This window comes from Homo sapiens, chromosome 4, assembly GCF_000001405.40.
Source record: "Homo sapiens chromosome 4, GRCh38.p14 Primary Assembly".
NCBI classification, from domain to species: domain Eukaryota; kingdom Metazoa; phylum Chordata; class Mammalia; order Primates; family Hominidae; genus Homo; species Homo sapiens.
This window is the reverse complement of record NC_000004.12, coordinates 48,686,303-48,704,536: the sequence shown is the minus strand read 5'-3', so window position 1 is coordinate 48,704,536 and position 18,234 is coordinate 48,686,303. Positions and strand designations below refer to the sequence as shown.

Here is an 18,234-nt window from a genome sequence, read left to right as displayed (position 1 = left end):
CCAGCCTTGTGGTGTTGTTGTTGTTGTTTTTTAAAAGCTTGGGTATTGCTAGATTTATCCTCATAAGAAGTTATACCTCTTTGTGTTCCCATCAGTAATGTATGAGAGTGCCTTTTTTTCATACATAACCTTGCCAGCAGAATATGTTGTCAAATTTTGAGGGTTTTGTCAGATGGAATCTCATTGTAGTGTTAATTTCCCCTTTGTGAGTGATATTGAATATCTTTTTATATGGCTAAGAGGCATTTGCATTTCTTTTTCTTTTTCCAACTGTCCATTTCTTTAGCCCCCTTTTCTGTTTGTTGGTGTTTTTTATTTTATAAGCTCTTTACACATTAGAAATACCAATCTCTTGTCTTTGTTTTCTTTTTCCTGTTAAACAGAGGTATTCTCTGTTCTGCTTTCAACTGGCTTCATTTTTTCCTCATTCTTTTTCATTAATGTTACATTTATTCTTTTGGATAAGTGATTGTTCCACATTTAGTGTCTCCACTTGTACACGTCAGACCTATTTCATTATTTTTTCAAGTTCAACATGCTTTAGATAGAATGTGACTTTATCCACAAACCTGTGTTCCCTTTATCAGGTAATGGTATTGCCATTTTCCCAGATGAGAAATTGAAGTGACCTTTTTGACTTTATTTATTATTTATTCATTATTTATTCAACAAGTATTTGTTGAGTACCTATCGGGTTTCAAGTACAGGCTAGGCACTAGTGGCAAATAGTATAATCCTAGCTCTCAGGGAATGGTCTAAGAGGGGAGTAGGTGTTCCACAAATACACAAACTATGTCTAAATATGTGGTTAAGAATTCTAAGAGAGAATGTAAAAGTGGGGACACATTATTACATTGGAGAGGTTGTGAGTTGCCTCTTTGAGAAAATGACACTTAAGCTAAGATTTGAAGGATGTTTAGGATTAGCTTGGTGGAAAAAAGTCAGTGTGGCAGCTTCCAGACATAGGAAACAGTGTGTAAAAGGATCCTGAGGCAGAAACGAAGTTGGACTTCTAGGAAATGAAAAGACCAGTTTAGCTGGCATGCAGGGAGAAGGGATTGAGGGGCCTGAGATATCATCTGATTGCTTTGTAAAGAGATCACTCTGGCTGTGGCAGGGGTAATCCATTGGAGGGGGTCACGTAGAAGTCAGTCAGGAGCTGGTTAGCAGACTGTTGTAGTAATTGTGAAAGGTGATGGTGCCTATTTGTTCAGTTATAAAATTCTTTCAGTTCTAATTCAGGATTTTGTTCATTCCCTCTCTTGACTACTGGGATAGATTTTTAAAAATTGGTCCCATACTGTCTTAGTCCCTATTCCCCATCTAGTCTGCTTCAGAAGACAACTTTTAGAGTCAACAGTCTGTTCATATCACTTCCTTTCTCAAAAACTTACGGTGGTTCTATGATTGTGGAAGAATGAGATCCCATCTGGTATTGAAGCTTTTATCATTTTCTTTAGGTTTCAAGATCTGCTCTCCTGAGACAACTTTCTTTGGGCAGCCAAGATGGGTACTTTTCTGCCTCTTTTCTTAGCTCATCTCCGATCTTCCATCATGACATCTGTACCTCTCTTCTCCACCAACCCCCACTATTCTCTGATCCTTCTTAGATCCCAAGATTAATTTTTTTTAACTCAACATATACTCAGTTTTCTTTTGCTGTGTCAATTCTAAGATTTATCATAGTTTATGTTGAGAAATATTCATGTATTTATTTGGAGTACAAAGAAATTATGTATTTTTTCTTTTCTTTCTTTTTCTTTTTTTTTTTTTTTTGAGACGGAGTCTTGCTCTGTCGCCCAGGCTGGAGTGCAGTGGCCCGATCTCCTCTCACTGTAAGCTCCGCCTCCCGGATTCACACCATTCTGCTTCAGCCTCTACGAGTAGCTGGGACTGCAGGAGCCCACCACCATGCCCGGCTAATTTTTTGTATTTTTAGTAGAGACGGGGTTTCACCATGGTCTCGATCTCCTGACCTCGTAATCCGCCTGCCTCGGCCTCCCAAAGTGCTGGGATTACAAGCGTGAGCCACCGCGCCCAGCATTTTTTTTTTTTTTTTTTTTTTTTTTTTTTTTTTTTTTGAGACAGAGTCTCACCCTGTCACCCAGGCTGGAGTATAGTGGCACATTCTCGACTCACTGCAACCTCCGCCTCTAGGGTTCAAGCGATTCTCTTGCCTCAGCCTCCTGAGTAGCTGGGATTACAGACATGCACCACCATGCTTGGCTAGTTTTTGTATTTTTAGCAGAGACAGGGTTTCACCATGTTGGCCAGGCTGGTCTCGAACTCCTGACCTCAGGTGATCCGCCCGCCTCAGCCTCCCAAAGTGCTGGGATTACAGGCATGAGCCACCATACCTGGCCTATTTTTTATTTTTAAAACTGATAGGAACCCAGTAGATATACGTTGAATTGTATGAGATTAGGGAGCATTCCATGTGGTGGATCAGTCATTCAAATTTCTTATAAAAGAAGGAAGTCTCAAGTATAATTTTATAAAATTTTGAATAGAACTTTTGGGAGTAACCTCATTTAGAAACAGAAGAATGTTACTTGCTGTTTGAAGCAGCTTTTATAGTTCAGTGCACATCAAATAATGCTTATATTCTGTATATTGGGTTGACAAAAATATGTTTATAAGACAGTATGACGATATTAGAGTTCTTATGACTTACTGGGGGTAATGGCATATTCAGGGCATTAAATATTTGATCGCCAGGTAGCAGAAAATGGTCAATAAAATAATGAATGTGTAGGTATTTGAATGCACCTCTGCTTTTATCTGAGATACCTTTGGACTCATTGTCCGCTTAGCTGACTTCTTAGCGTGTATCTTTCTAGAGTAAATGTAATAGTCTGTCTATTGACAAGGATTAGTTTACTTGATTCTCATACTTGATTTTGTTAATAGATCAGCGCCAGCCAGCATGTTTCTTTTGTAAAGGGAAGGGTACTAATATTATTTACTGCCTACAACTTGCAAAATGATTTCATATACTCTCTTTTTAAAAATCCTTACAGGTTTCCTTCTGTCTCTCTCTTATTCAATTTTTCCTTCACTCCCTTCTTTTTCCTCTCCTTTTCTTCCTATAAATGAGGTTAAGTGATTTTGTGTGGGTAACTGTGGCTTAGTATTGTGTAACTATACTGCATACATTGTGTTGCCTTCTCATATGAAATCATTTCTCTGAAATTACATTGGAAATGGGGTTTTTACAGATTTGTTGTGGATATGACTTTACAGATATTAATCTAACTTTTAGTTTCTTTGGATCACCTCTTGAATTAAATAGTTGTTTTTGTCTCCTAATACATATTGATGCAATAAAAGAGTTGGGCGATGATAATAATTTTGGTCCTATACTGAATTTTTGTTATCTGAAATATAGTAGAAACTAAACCTTTTAAACCCATTTAAAAGTCAATTTTCTAAAGTCACATTTAACAGTTTTGGTGTTTCAATAATATTAACTAATGAAAACTATTTTGGTTGTATTATTTTAAGGTAGAAGTATCTTAATGGAATTTTTAAATGAGCTTGCCTAAGATTAAATAAGCACCTTGAGTCTAGTTTCTGCAATGTGATTTTAAGTTTTTTTTAAAAATTACTTTGAAACAGTAACTAGGGCAAGTACTTACAGGTAAGAGTGAAATTATTTGGTACAGTAAGCTTCAATTATAATGCATTTAGTTTGGAGTGATGAAAGTTTTTTTTTTTTTTTAATTTAATTTTTTTGAGTCAGGGTCTTGCTTTGTCACCCAGGCTGAAGTGCAGTGGTGCAATCATAGCTCACTGCAGCCTTGACCTCCTGGGCTCAAGCGATCCTCCCACCTCAGCCTCCCAAGTAGCTGGGACTACAAACACACACCACCATGCCTGGCTAGGATTTTGATTTTTTTTAGAGATGGGGTCTTACTATGTTGCCCAGGCTGGTCTTGAACTCCTGGGCTCAAGTGATCCTCCCACCTCAGCCTCCCCAAGTACTGGGATTACAGGCGTGACCACTGTGTCTAGCTGAAAGTTACTATTTTTAAAACTGAGAATCTATAAAAGCAAAAATATTCATTGTAGCTCATGGTTTGACAGGTTTATGAAAGGCTTAAAATGTAAAATTGTCATAAGTAAAATACTGCATTTCACGTAGGATTTATGTAACTAGTAGTGATGGTGAAAAAAACCTGATGAGGTGGGAGAAATGACCCAGTGTCTCACTTTGCCCTCCCGGTGTCTTATTTCCCCTCTCATTTTAAGTTCTACGTGAGTATTACAGCTTCAAATATAATCATGGCATTAATTCAGAAGCCTGATATATTAAAAAAAAATCTTTTGTTTTTCTGTAATAACTGCATTTGTACCGTATTAGAACTTTCTACCACAATCTCCTTCTGAGACAGTATAGAGCTAGCTGGGTGAGTCACACCACACCACAAATTCCTTAAGGTGGTAGGTGGTGTCTTATTCATCATTCGTGTCTCTCACTGCCTAGTGCAGTGCTCGATAGGCAGTCGGACTCTGTTCCTTTATTATACTATACCTGGTGTTAGGTTTTTAGAGCACTTAAATTTTTTTTGTCTTTTTGCTTTACTCTAATAAATATTCTAGTTAACATTAATATCTAGCTTAATATGATTTAAATGTATGTTAAAATTCTTAAGAGTAGTAGCAAATCTAGATTGGGAACTGGATCTGTAGACAATATTCAAAAGATACAATTCAGATGACCCTGAACACCAGTAAACTGATCCAGGGGCCAAATATTCTCTCAAAATAGAGGAGGAAAAAGGAAAAGAGGCATGTAGGGACCCAGAAGAAGAAGGGCGATTTATGTGGAGTGGAGGGAATTTTCATGTTAAACCACAGGTAGGGCTTGTTTACTTTGTCACATTTTCCCTGTAATAGAGAAACTGCTGAGCCAGAATTGTGCAACTGATTGAATTAGCACCTTGTTTAAATTGTTAGCATCCATCTTTGAGAAGCATGTATTTTAGATTAAAGATTTAAAAATCTTGGCTGAAACAAAGGACAATCTCTTTCCTTTATGAAGTTGTTCATTGAACTTTAAATAGTAAGATATTAACAGATGAGGATTGAATTTAGTCTTCAAATAAGCATCTCTGTGATTTGTTGGTCACAGTATGATCTCTTTCCCATCCCCCACTATTTTTTACTTTTGATAGGGCAAACTCTTATGTTTTCATGAAATATTTAAAGCAAATGATGTGTTAATTATGTTTAGTTATCCTTTTTGAGAGTTCTCTAGCTTTTTCTGTTCTGAGGTTCAGAATCAATATAAGGACATATTGAAATCATAATTGCATTTTATCTTCCAAACAGCCATTGAAAATAATTGCATTTTAATTTGAGAATTTTATCTCAACTCCATATAACAGCTTATACTTTAAAATATAATCCAGAGGTACAGTACTTTTCAGTTCATTTATTAGCTTTGTCAGTTTCCACATTTGTAAAGTTGAACATTTACTGAAATTATGGGCTGGTTTGGGTTAAAATGAAGTAACATATGTGAAGCATCTTAGATGGTCACACATAGTAGGCTCTCGGTAATTAGTCGTTGCTGCTGTTGTTATGGGTATTTAATTAACTTGGATTTCTAGGGCACCATTTGTTAGAGTGCAGTGAACCAATTCTGAATTCTACCCTCCTATATTTGTTACTTGTTTAGACTGACTTAACCACTGTGGAGAATAAAGCCTATTTGTGGGGGTTGGGGTGGGGGTGGTGCCTACTGACTCTTATATGCATGTTTTTTCAGAGTTACAGGATGTGTACTGGAATGTGAAGGATTAAGCTTTGTGGTGGCATGTTCTATATGGTCATCCATAGTGACCAAACTAATTTGGAATGTTGTTTTGTTACTAACTTGGAAATGTGTTATTTTCTCTACAGAGGATGTTGATCTGAATAAACTGCTTATTATGCTTTATACATTTCTAGAGCGAGAGGAACTGTCAATCAGTGTAAATCTCACCCAGCACAGTATTTTCTTTCACAAACATGGGGAGGAGGCAATACCAAGATAACCACTTTTGGGACAGAGCCAGGAGCTGTTGTGTAACTCAGAGGGTGTGTGATAGCATCCAGCTTTGGAGCCCATCACGTCACATTGAGAAATTGTGGCAGGGAGGCTTACAGGAAAAACATCTTGTTTATTAACACCTGAATATGTTACTTATGTAGCTTTTTAAAAGTCATCAGTTAGCTAGCTTCTCAAAGAGAGGCAAGAACCCATTCGCGTAGTTACAGATTGTGGCTATAGTAAGTCTTCTGGTAACAGGAGCTGTGAGCACCACTTCTTCAGTGAAGTCTTTCCTGTTCCCTTCTCCACTCAGGTTGATGACTGTCTCCTTTGTACCTGGTTGCAGCTTGAACATATTTAGGTAACTTCTCTCAAAGCACTTGAAACATGCTACTGCCCATGTCTCCTTTCCAGCTTGTCTGTAAACTCCTTGATGGTAGCAGCTGTGTGTGTAAGTGCCACTGAGTATAGATTCCTGGAGCTTAGGTTGATCCCCAGTAAATGTTAAATGCAGGTCTCCCTGTGCCTGTGGAAATGCCTCAACATCAATTGGTTCAATTGTATCCTTCAACTTGATCACTAACAGGTCTTTAATGAAAAGTCTCCAGAGATGCTATTCCCATTCTGTACTATCCTCATCATTACCATTCTTATTTCTTCTTTGCCAATGCAAATTCTCTATTTCATTTTTTTCTTTAAGTACTTCTCTATGAAGCTTTTTAAAAGTATGCTTCATTTTAGGGCCAGACATGGTGGCTCATGCGAGGCCCATGCGGGTGGATCACCTGAGGTCAGGAGTTTAAGACCAGCGTGACCAGCATAGTGAAACCCCATCTCTACTAAAAATACAAAATTAGTCGGGTGTGGTGGCGTGCACCTGTAATCCCAGCTACTCAGGAGACTGAGGCAGGAGAATTGCTTGAACCCAGGAGGCAGAGGTTGCAGTAAGCTGAGACACCGCAGCCTGGGGGACAGAGTGAGACTCCATCCCAAAAAATAAAAATAGAAGTATGCTTCATTTTAGTTAGTTTATAATCAACATTGAGAAATCCAAGAAAGGTGAGAAATGTAAACTAGAGCTGGAGATTTAAAATTGGCACCTGTAAAAATACATTATTTTTTGAAGTAAAAAAAGTTTGTAAACATTTCCCTTGTTTACAAATCTGAAATTATATTAATTTTGGTAAAATTCTAGATTTTTTCCAAATAAGTCAAAACCTCAAAAGAATGGAAATTTTAGGTAAAATTTAGGTAAAAATGGAAAGAAAGTAAGAGTCATAATTTTCAGGCTGTTATAAGAAATGTCTTTTACTGTATCATATGGTATTTTATAGTATATAAAAATATAGGAATTGACCTTATTATCCTTAGTGTACAAGGTTTTATTGTGGTTTAAAATTCCAAGTCTTCGATGTAGCTTCCTTTATTCTTCTTCTTCAGTTACACCATAATAGTTTATTGAAATTTGATGCATATAGGAAAAAACCTTGTAATTGACTTTTTTTGGAGAAAAATTATTCATTTTAAGACAAAAGCAGAGATTGTTTGAGCCAAAACCTGATGGATTTAAGAGTGCTGTTGATCATGGTTGACTTGTGAAAGTGATAGATAGATAGATAGATAGATAGATAGATAGATAGATAGATAGATAGATCTCTTATCGTTATTTTTCTTTTATACTGGGCTTATGTTTTTTTTTTCTTATTTTCTTGCTTAATAATAGTATCATTAAGCAGGCAGGAGAAAAATAATACCATTGAAACTAAAAGTTAGTAATTTAATTTGATTATGTATATATATATTTTATTATACTTTAAGTTCCGGGATACAAGTGCAGAACGTGTAGGTTTGTTGTATAGGTATACGTGTGCCATAATGGTGTCCTGCACCTATCCCCCCATCATTTAGGTTTTAAGCCCCACATGCATTAGCTATTTGTCCTAGTGTTCTCCCTCTCCTTGCCCCCCACCTGCTGACTGGCCCCAGTGTGTGATGTTCCCCTTCCAGTGTCCACGTGTTCTCGTTGTTTAACTCCCACTTATGAGTGAGAACATGCGGTATTTGGTTTTCTGTTCTTGTGTTAGTTTGTTGAGGATGATGGCTTCTAGCTTCATCCATGTCCCCACAAAAGACGTGAACTCATTCTTTTTTATGGCTGCACGGTATTCCATGGTGTATATGTACTACATTTTCTTTATCCAGTCTATCATTGATGGGCATTTGGGTTGGTTCCATGTCTTTGCTATTGTAAATAGTGCTGCAGTAAACATATGTGTGCATGTGTCTTTATGGTAGAATGATTTATATTCCTTAGGGTACATACCCAGTAATGGGATTGCTGGATCAAATGGTATTTCTGGTTCTAGATCCTTGAGGAATCGCCACCCTGTCTTCCACAATGGTTGAACTAATTTACCCTCCCACCGACAGTGTAAAAGCATTCCTATTTCTCCACAGCCTCACCAGCATCTATTGTTTCTTGACTTTTTGATCATCGCCATTGTGACTGGCGTGAGATGGTATTTCATTGTGGTTTTGATTTGCATTTCTCTAATGATCAGTGATGTTGAGCTGTTTTTCATATATTTGTTGGCTGCATAAATGTCTTCCTTTGTGAAGTGTCTATTTATATCCTTTGCCCACTTTTTGATGGGGTTGTTTTTTTCTTGTAAATTTGTTTAAGTTCCTTGTAGATTCTGGATATTAGACCTTTGTCAGATGGGTAGCTTGCAAAAACGTTTTGCCATTCTGTAGGTTGCCTGTTCACTCTGATGGTAGTTTCTTTTGATGTAGAGAAGCTCTTTAGTTTGATTAGATCCCATTTGTCAATTTTTGCTTTTGTTGCAATTGCTTTTGGCATTTTAATCATGAAGTCTTTGCTCATGCCTATATCATAATTTTGCAGTTTATTATATTTATGGACAAAGTAACAAGAATAGTATTTGTTCTGTGGCATTTGTTTTATGTATTTTGTCATACATTGTACCCACATACAAATATATATATATATATTTACAGTAAATATATGTTAACATCTTAATGCTTATGAATTTTCAAATGATACATAGTAGCATTGATTTTTACCTGTAATCATACGTGGAAAACTTACCTTTAAATGACGGAGACCTTTACATATATGCGTAGTTTGCACATTATCAGTTGAAGCTAGTACATCTTTATTTAGTACTCTATTTTTCCGAACACCACTTTTCTAGTTTCTGTGGGAGATGTAATGATGTATGTACCCTTTAGAGGATCACAGTCTCAGAGCAACTCTTACAGCACCACAGAGCTCTAGAACAGGAAGAAACTCTGGAGGTTATCTTCTCTTAGGGGTATGTTTAAACAGTAGTTCACTGATTCTTACGCATTTTCTCCTTTGCTCAGTAAGCAGGAGATGTGGGCCAATTTTTTGTTTGTTTGTTTGTTTGTTTGTTTGAAACAGGGTCTCACTCTGTTGCCCAGGCTAGAGTGCAGGGGCACAGTCACTGCTCACTGCAGCCTCTACCTACCAAGCTTAGGTGATCCTCTCACCTTAGCCTGGGACTACAGGCTAGTGCCACCATGCCCAGCTGACTTCTTTTACTTTTACTAGAGATGAGGTTTCACTATGTTGCCCAGGCTGGTCTCAGATTCCTGAGCTCAAGTGATCCCCCTGCGTTGGCCCCCCAAAGTGCTGAGATTACAGGAGTGAGCTATCATGTCCAGCCATGGGGCAGTTTTTTTGGGCCAGGGATTTACAAATTATGAAGTCAAGAAATAATTTTAGTGGGAAATGACTAGAATATAACACTTGTTTTTCCTGTAATTACGTTAGAGACTACCAAAGCATATTGCAGATTATTTCCAATATATCATATTATATTGTGTATATGTATACTGGGTTTTAAAAAATGTATTATAGGTTGGGCACAGTGGCTCACACCTATAATCCCAGCACTTTGGGAGGCCGAGGCAAGTGGATCACCTGAGGTCAGGAGTTCAAGACCAGCCTGGGCAACATGGTGAAACCCTGTCTCTCCTAAAAATACAAAACGTAGCTGGGCGCAGTGGCACATGCCTGTAATCCCAGCTACTCAGGTGGCTGAGCAGGAGAATTGCTTGAGCCCGGGAAGCAGAGGTTGTAGTGAATTGAGATTGCGCCATTCCATTGCAGCCTGGGCAACAGAGCAAGACTGCCTCAAAAAAAAAAAAAGTATTCTAAATTTTTAAATACTTTTTTAAATGTATTTTTTTATTGAAGTGAAAAGATTTTAGAAAACATATCTTTAATGTGTCTTCTCCTCCACCTCCCACCCCCCACTTGAAACCTGGAGAGCAGCCATTGTTCTTCATCCCGAGATATGCAGCTTAATCTCTTTGCTGTGCTCTCTTGCTGTCATGCCTGACACCAAAGTCAAGCATTTTCTACCCAGAAACCAGGTGATATTTCCCTGTGATAGTAAAAAATATGCAGTGAGATCATTTTTTCATTATGCTGGTCTTCCTTGCAGCCTTTGGGCAAAAATAAAACACTTTGGTGGCTCTGTTAATCTGTAGGTATTGCTTATGATGTGCCTAACTTGGTACCAAGATGCGATTTAGTCACCAAGAGAATTTGGATTATTTAATACTCGTACATAATAAAACTCCTCATCAAATATTCATGTGGGCACATACAGAGGCCTAATTGTATTCTTGTAATGCACAATATAAATACTAATATTGTTTTGGAGAATCAGCATGGTATGCTGAAGCCATGGTTTGGAAAAATGCATTGTAGTATGTTTTTATCTGTGGGAATTACTGGCAAATATAATTGAGAGATTCTAAATACTGTAGTTGTTTCCTTCACTTTTGAACTTGGCTTAAGTATTTTTGGTCTTTTTTTTTTTTTTAAATCGCTGAATTATTGTTTTGTTGTATCAACGGTTGAAGCTAAACCATGATTGTTATTTTAATATTTATGTCTTCTTTTAAAGATATAATTTAAAAACAATTTTCTCCCACTGAGAGGGATTAAAAAATAAACGGGGAGAATAGTAGAATAAATGCTCAGGTGCCCATTCCTCAGCTCAAACATTTATGAAACCATTGTTACCCACCCTCTTTCTGCAGGTCCCAATTATTTTTGAGTCATTTTCTTTGTCACAACATTTCACCTGTAAATACTTCAGTATGCATTTGTAAGAGACAAGGACTTCCGTTTTTAGATAGATAAAGAAGAATCTTAAAAACCTTTTTGAAGAATATACTGAATTATGATAATTAAATTTGTGTATGGGATGTTAGAGCGATATAAAGGAAAATGAGATAGCTTAAATGGAGTAAGTGGAAAAAAGAAATACCGACAAGCAATTGTACCAAGAAATAGTAGAAAAGGTGTGAAAAGGCCAATTAACAGCTTTTAAAGTACTCATGGAGAAAAGGAAGACATTTGCATTTTTTAACAGGCAGTATGTGTCTGCATTCCACATAGGTCAGTAGGGGAGTAAAGCCAAGTGTATTTCATACCATTTGAAATAGCAATTCTGTTTCAAGACTTTTTCTTAAGGGAGAAATCAAAGATGTGTACAAAGATTGCCAATCAAGGTATTCACTACAATATTACTTATAGAAATGAGGAATTGAACCTTTTTTTAAAGAGATCTTTTAGTCCGTTCTTTTATTTTTATAGATAATAGTACAGGTAGTTTCCATTTATTAAGTACTTGCCATATTTCAAGCATTTTGCTAACACCTTAACATGAATTATATGACATAAACCTCTAACAACAATAATAAATAAGCAATATTTATTACAACCTCCAACTTTCACATGAGAAACTAAGGCTTAGGCCGGGTGCAGTAGTGTACTCCCAGCACTTAGGGAGGCCAAGGCAGGCAGATCACCTGAGGTCAGGAATTCAAGAGCAGCCTGGCCAACATGGCAAAACTTTGGCTCTACTAAAAATACAAAAATTAGTCAGGTGTGGTGGCATGTGCCTGTAGCCCCAGCTACTCAGGAGGCTGAGGCAGGAGAATCACTTGAACTTGGGAGGTGGAGGTTGCCGTGAACTGAGATCATGCCACTGCACTCCAGCCTGGGCGGCAGAGTGAAACTCTGTCTCAAAAAAAAAAAAGATAGAAAGAAACTAAGGCTTGAGTTTAACTAACTTGTCCTAGATAACTCAGGAAATAATCATAAAGGAGAGTTCTAGACTTAACCTAATTCCAGAGCCTTTGTATCTAAACATTATACTGTACTACTTCCTGACCTAGTCAAAAAGGCGATTTAGGCCCATAGTAAGAAATGTGAAGAAGGGACTTTGCTCCAGGTCACAAGAAATAATGCAACAGTGAGGTTGAAAAATCCTAACTCAGGGCTAAATACAATCTGTTGCCTCCCTGCATGAATATGGCTAATAAAAATAATTGTTTCTTATTTCTTCTCTTTAGTATCCTATATTCAACATTTCCCCATCTACTATTTATGAAATTATAAGTTTCTAGTCTTTATTTTCTTCTCTGAGGAATAATTTTCTAAATTATAGTTGCTCAGCAACATTCATGAAATAGCACTGCAGTACTCATTTCCTGAGCCTAAAGGAATTGAACTTAATGCTCAATATTAGTGGAATGATTAAATGAAGATAATATATTTATAAAATAATGTTTTGTAACCACTAGATATTGTACAATATGATTCCGGTTGTATACAGTGTATACAGTGTTTAATTTATGTAGGAAGACCTGACAGAAATTAACCCAGATGGTAAAATGAATTCATAGTGGCTACCTCTAGGTGTTAGAATTATGAGGAATTTTTATTTCTTCATTACTTTTTTGGGAAATTGTTGCAAATGTTATCAGCATTTGTGGTATAAGTTAATAAATATTACCATTATTGAGTACTTACTGTGTGTCAAGCACTGTTTAAGCACTTTTCATCTTTTACACTTAGTTCTGAAAATAGCCCTAAGAGATTTTATTATCCTTATTGTATAGATGAGGAAACGGAGATTGAATACTGAGACAATTTGAGTGTATCCTTCTAGGTGTGTTCTTGGCTTCCAAATGTATTTTTTTTCACTTTGTAAAAATGTATGTGGAATATTATCGCAAAGTAGTCAATATATTTTTAAAAAAATTGATGGATGACATTTCATCTTAGGAATGTGCCATGATTTTTTTTCAACTGGTCCTTTTTGTTCTTTGCCTCTACTGCAATATTCTGCTCATAGGAATAATAGTACAATGAACGTCTTTGCAAATAAATTTGTGTGTGCATGTCTGATTATCTTTCTAGAATAAGCTCTTAGAAATGGAGTTACTGGGTCAAAGATCATAAACATTTTAGAGGCTTTTGGTACAAGTTGTGAGATTGCAGGTGACAAATGACCTTCTTTCCTTAAATTTAGAAAAGTTGTTTTGGGGCTATAAATTTGGGAGAAATGGGTCATCTAAATCATCTGTGGGAATTTGTGCTTTCATAGTTTCTGTTACAGAAGTCAGGCTTCTCTAAGCTTGCTGGAGGCAGTGAACACAGAGAAAAAGAGGAAAGACAAACTTTGGAGATTAAATTGTAGCTACTTACTTGCTTTATGACCTTGAGCAGCTATTTATTCATTTTTCTCTTCTAGTTAACATTTTTATTAACTTAGAAACCTTTTCATTGCAATTGTTTTATATAAACATGTAAAATATAGCTATCATCTATACACATTTTCTCTGATGTTTGATCTTATAGGACCTTAGGGTCATAATTAGATAGCATAAGTTCCATTGTATAATTAAAAAAACTATACATATAAAAGGTTAACACATTGATTACAGATGACCCTAGAAAGCATTTTAGATGTTGCATCTTTAAATTAAAAAGAATTTTTCTAAGGGGTCACATGTTCCCTTCCTCTGACAAGCAAGAACAGAAAATTTTGGATGAATTAATTGAAATTTTTGTTAAATAGTTAAAGATTTATTGTGTGTTTCTCGTGGGCGTATCATCTTCCAGAGACTTTGTAGGCAACTTCTGGAGACTTTAATTATAGGTTTGGGTGGTAGGGAGAAGAGCATTTTAACTTAAGGGAGTCCAGAGAATCATTAATGAAATCAGTAAAGAAAGTCTCCATATGAAGCCACTGAATACATTAGGGTTGGTTATTCTAGGAAAACCATGTTGATAATGGGTAATCTGATAGTCCAGAAATTCATGAGCAGTACAAATGGAATAAACAGAAAACATTCTATTGAGGGTTGAAGGCTGTAATTGGTTTAATGGAAAAAAAAGAAGTACTACTTTTTACTACGAATAGTAAAATTGTAAAACAATCTACTGGCCGGGCGCGGTGGCTCACGCCTGAAATCCCAGCACTTTGGGAGGCCGAGGCAGGCAGATCACGAGGTCAGGAGATCGAGATCATCCTGGCTAACACAGTGAAACCCCATCTCTACTAAAAATACAAAAAAAAAAAAAAATTAGCTGGGCACGGTGGCGGGCACCTGTAGTCCCAGCTAGTCGGGAGGCTGAGGCAGGAGAATGGCTTGAACCCGGGAGGCGGAGCTTGCAGTGAGCCGAGATTACGCCACTGCACTCCAGCCTGGATGACAAAGAGTGAGACTCCGTCTCAAAAAAAAAAAAAAAAAGAAAAAAAGAAATTAAAAAACCTACTATAAATGGTAGGCATAGAAAATAAGTATAAGGAGGATTTTTATCAGAGGCTCTTAATCCATAATTAATGGTTGGATTAGGAGGGCTCAACTCTTCAAAGTTATAGAAATGTGCTTTTTGGAAGATGACATCTCCACCTCTTTCAAATTTCTAAAGCAGTAACTCCAAAAGGCTTAAGCTCCCACTGGAATGTAAACTCCGCAAGGATAGGGATTTTTGTTTTATTCACTTTTTTTTCCCTCATACTGGCAGATAGTTCTGCTTAATAAATATTTGTCGAGTGTATGATTTCTGTAAACTTATGTGTGGTGTACTTATAGTAATAGATTTTTAGAAGTTAGGAGTGTATGTAGTAAATCCCAGATTGATGTCTTAACTGGGCTACTTCTGAATTTGTCCAAAAATTTTCTCTTGGTACTTAACTCTAGATGTAGAATGGAAAGATTTATATGATAAATTTGTAGTTGAATTCCATTTTTCTGTGCCAACATGAAAATGTAGTATGAAAATTATTCTAAAAATACATATTCATTCATCAGTGTATAAGAAAATGTACCACTGTGATGCTGTTTTCATTTGATTTAATGAATGAAACTGTTACAGAAAACTTCCTCTTAAAATTGTGAATGGAAAATTTGCTGCTTGTTTTCATTAGATCAAGTAATATGACAATAACTGCTGTTCTGGCTGAAAATGTAAAGTCAATAAAATGTTGACAAATTCACCTGCAGAGAACATTGCTTTATCAGCAAGAAATTTAGATTTTTGCAGTGAAGCCCAAATATTATGGCTGAGTATCATTACACAGCATTTTTAGCAGGTCATGTAATATAATCTGTAATTATATTAGTCAGTGTAGTATGTTTCCATACTTTTTAAAATTGAAATTTGGGAGAAGGTTAAAAAGAGGCTGGCCGCGGTAGCTCACACTGTAATCCCAGCACTTTGGGAGGCTGAGGTGGGTGGATCACTTGAGGTCAAAAGTTCAAGACTAGCCTGGCCAACATGGTGAAACCCCATCTCTACTAAAAATACAAAAAATTAGCCAGGCATGGTGGCACACGCCTGTAATCCTAACTACTTGGGAAGCTGAGGTAGGAGAATCACTTGAATATGGGAGGCAGAGGTTGCAGTGAGCCAACATCGTGCCACTGTACTCCAGCCTGGCAACAGAGTGAGACTCCATCTCAAAAAAAAAAAAAAAAAAAAAAATTGACTAAGAGAAGGTTAAATGCAAGTTCATTTTTAAAAAAATTTAAAAATTATAGCATTTGTCAAGAGAAAAAGTGAATTACTTAGCAATTGAAGAGTGATAAAACCACTGATAATTTTACAAATCATGAATTTTCTTTGGTAATTAAAGGGATGACCATAAATATTTTTTTAAAATGATTTTTACCAGTCAGATATAAACAATATTTGACTAATTGCTTGCTGCCTGCGCTTGATTATTTGTGAGCAAATTTTTCTTGTTTTACACCATCTTTGGCAGATTAAAGAAGTTACTGCATTTTGTTTTCTATAATTATTTTGGTATTACAGGAACTACAATCATTTTAAATTTATTTGAAAACGATTGCATCCTCACTCTAAAAGGCTGTCAGAACACTTGTGTCATTTTGGTTTTTGCATCATTTTAAGAGGCCTTGCAAGATTCCCAGAATTAATTTTAGTAGAATGGCAGGAATTGACCTTCATAGATTCCATATCTTAAAGTGCGGTTTCTAGCTTTAGTTGAAATATGAATTTCTAAGTCACCACACCCTCTAGTATTCAAGTATAATGTAAAATACATTTTGAAGTTAGATTTAGAGTTTTGAGCTTGGATCTTTGAGGTAATTTACCATAATCTTTTTACCTGGTGGCATAATCCCTTTTATAACATTCTGTAAGAATGTTAACATTCCTAACAACTGTTGCCTAAAGACTCACGGAGCAGGGACCCCAATCTTTTATGAAGCAGTCTTCGTATTACTTACATACTAATTAAGTCGTTTTTCCTTATGTTGAGCTCAAATTTACCATATGCCAGGCACCATAACTTCTCTGTTCAATTCGAATTGTGGAGTATTCCCGGCATACAGACAAGTATTGCGAATACTATATTGAACATCTCTGAAAGTCATTTACCCTTAATTTTTGCTCTATTTGCTTGGGATTGTTGTTTCCTGTGTTAATGTATATCAGAGACACATACATCAAATGTCTTCCTAAAATTAAGATAAATTTGTGGCATTTCTGTTATTATTCTAGAAATTCTGTTCAGAAAGGAAAGAGGTTCACGTGTTATTTGAACACCCATTCAGCTTTCTTTTGCTTTGTGTACTGAAGTGAAGCGAGGCTTTCCGCCCCCCTCCCCCCTCACCCCCCCCCCCCCCGACCTCATTTGCCCTGAGGCCCTCCCAAGCACCAGAGCTGGACCACTGTTCACTATTTATTACACATGGAAGCTTCCACATTATTACTCTGGCTGTAGGTGAAAAGTCTTGCCCTTCAAAGCTTGTGCTGTTGGGCTGTTCACAGTCTTCTCTTCAGTGTTGTCAAATACCAACTGATGTCCGTTTTTATTTGAACTTTTTTGTTTTAAATAAGAAAGAACAGCAATGGTTATTTGTATAGCATGACCATGTACAATTACCAAACCTCTCTGACCTTCACTGTCTCAAAATAATATTTTAAAAGTAGTAGTAAAAATTGCTCTCCTTTACAGATAAAATGTTCTCTGATCAAGTGGAATGAAAATAAAAATTAATCCCATGTTAAGTAATCCATATGGAGACAAGATGAAAAAGTGATTGTCCTGCAAGTAAACAGACGAAAAAGGTCCCAGAAAGACCCACCCCCACCAATCCAGCCCTGCTAAAAGTGATTATAACCTATAAAGAAAGCCAGTGAAGTATAAACTATGTATTTTCCAGGGTTACCAAAAGATGCATTTATTTTATCTTATCAAAAGCGAAAAGTCGAAAATAGCAAGGTTGTGTGTCTGCTGAAGAAGTGTTGCAAACTCTGGACAAATATTCAAATATTGAGAAGTCTTAAAGTGACATAGTGCCATGACAGTGTGATTACAAGAAGAATAAACACATACAACAAAAGCATGACATTAGCACTTGCTATGTCTGAGCGCAAGACTGCAAAAGCAAAGCAAAATGAAATACCTAGACATGGTGGTACAAATTGGTCCTAGGTAGGATTTTTGCTGTATTCCTAAAACTGCATTGTTTTCCAGTAGTGACTGGTTTTGTGATTTGTCCCAGAAGATGAAATGAAAGATAGCTTAAATCTCATTAAATATTGTCCAGTGCAGGACCGTGCCCACAAGACATGGCATGCTATTTGTCACATTAGTTTTTTTTTTAGGTTTGAGGGAGAAATGATTCCATGAACCTAAGATAAGCAAAGTATCAAGATTATGGCAGGATTGTTAACTATCGTATTGATAATAAATTTTAGAAATATTTGCTGGAACAGTAAAAAATTCCAGTAAGTTTGAATGATATTATGAACAGGCACAAACAAGTTAGTATTTTATTCATATTTCCCAGATTTTTGGCTTTGAAGATTT

The 18,234-nt window shown here is 36.4% G+C and overlaps 1 protein-coding gene across 6 annotated transcripts in view; it reads left to right on the top strand.

Annotated features, from left to right (window-relative positions):
* The window catches only part of FRYL (FRY like transcription coactivator), a 282,923-nt gene that overhangs the window by 75,743 nt on the left and 188,946 nt on the right, over positions 1 to 18,234 (top strand). Inside the window, exon 1 of one of the 6 annotated variants that reach the window (XM_047450099.1) lies at positions 4,504 to 17,856. The exons of the other annotated variants lie outside the window; for them this stretch is intronic. The gene's annotated coding sequence lies outside the window, so the exon portion shown is untranslated. Of the gene's footprint in view, positions 1 to 4,503; positions 17,857 to 18,234 lie in introns of those variants that run through there. 6 annotated transcript variants of the gene reach the window in all.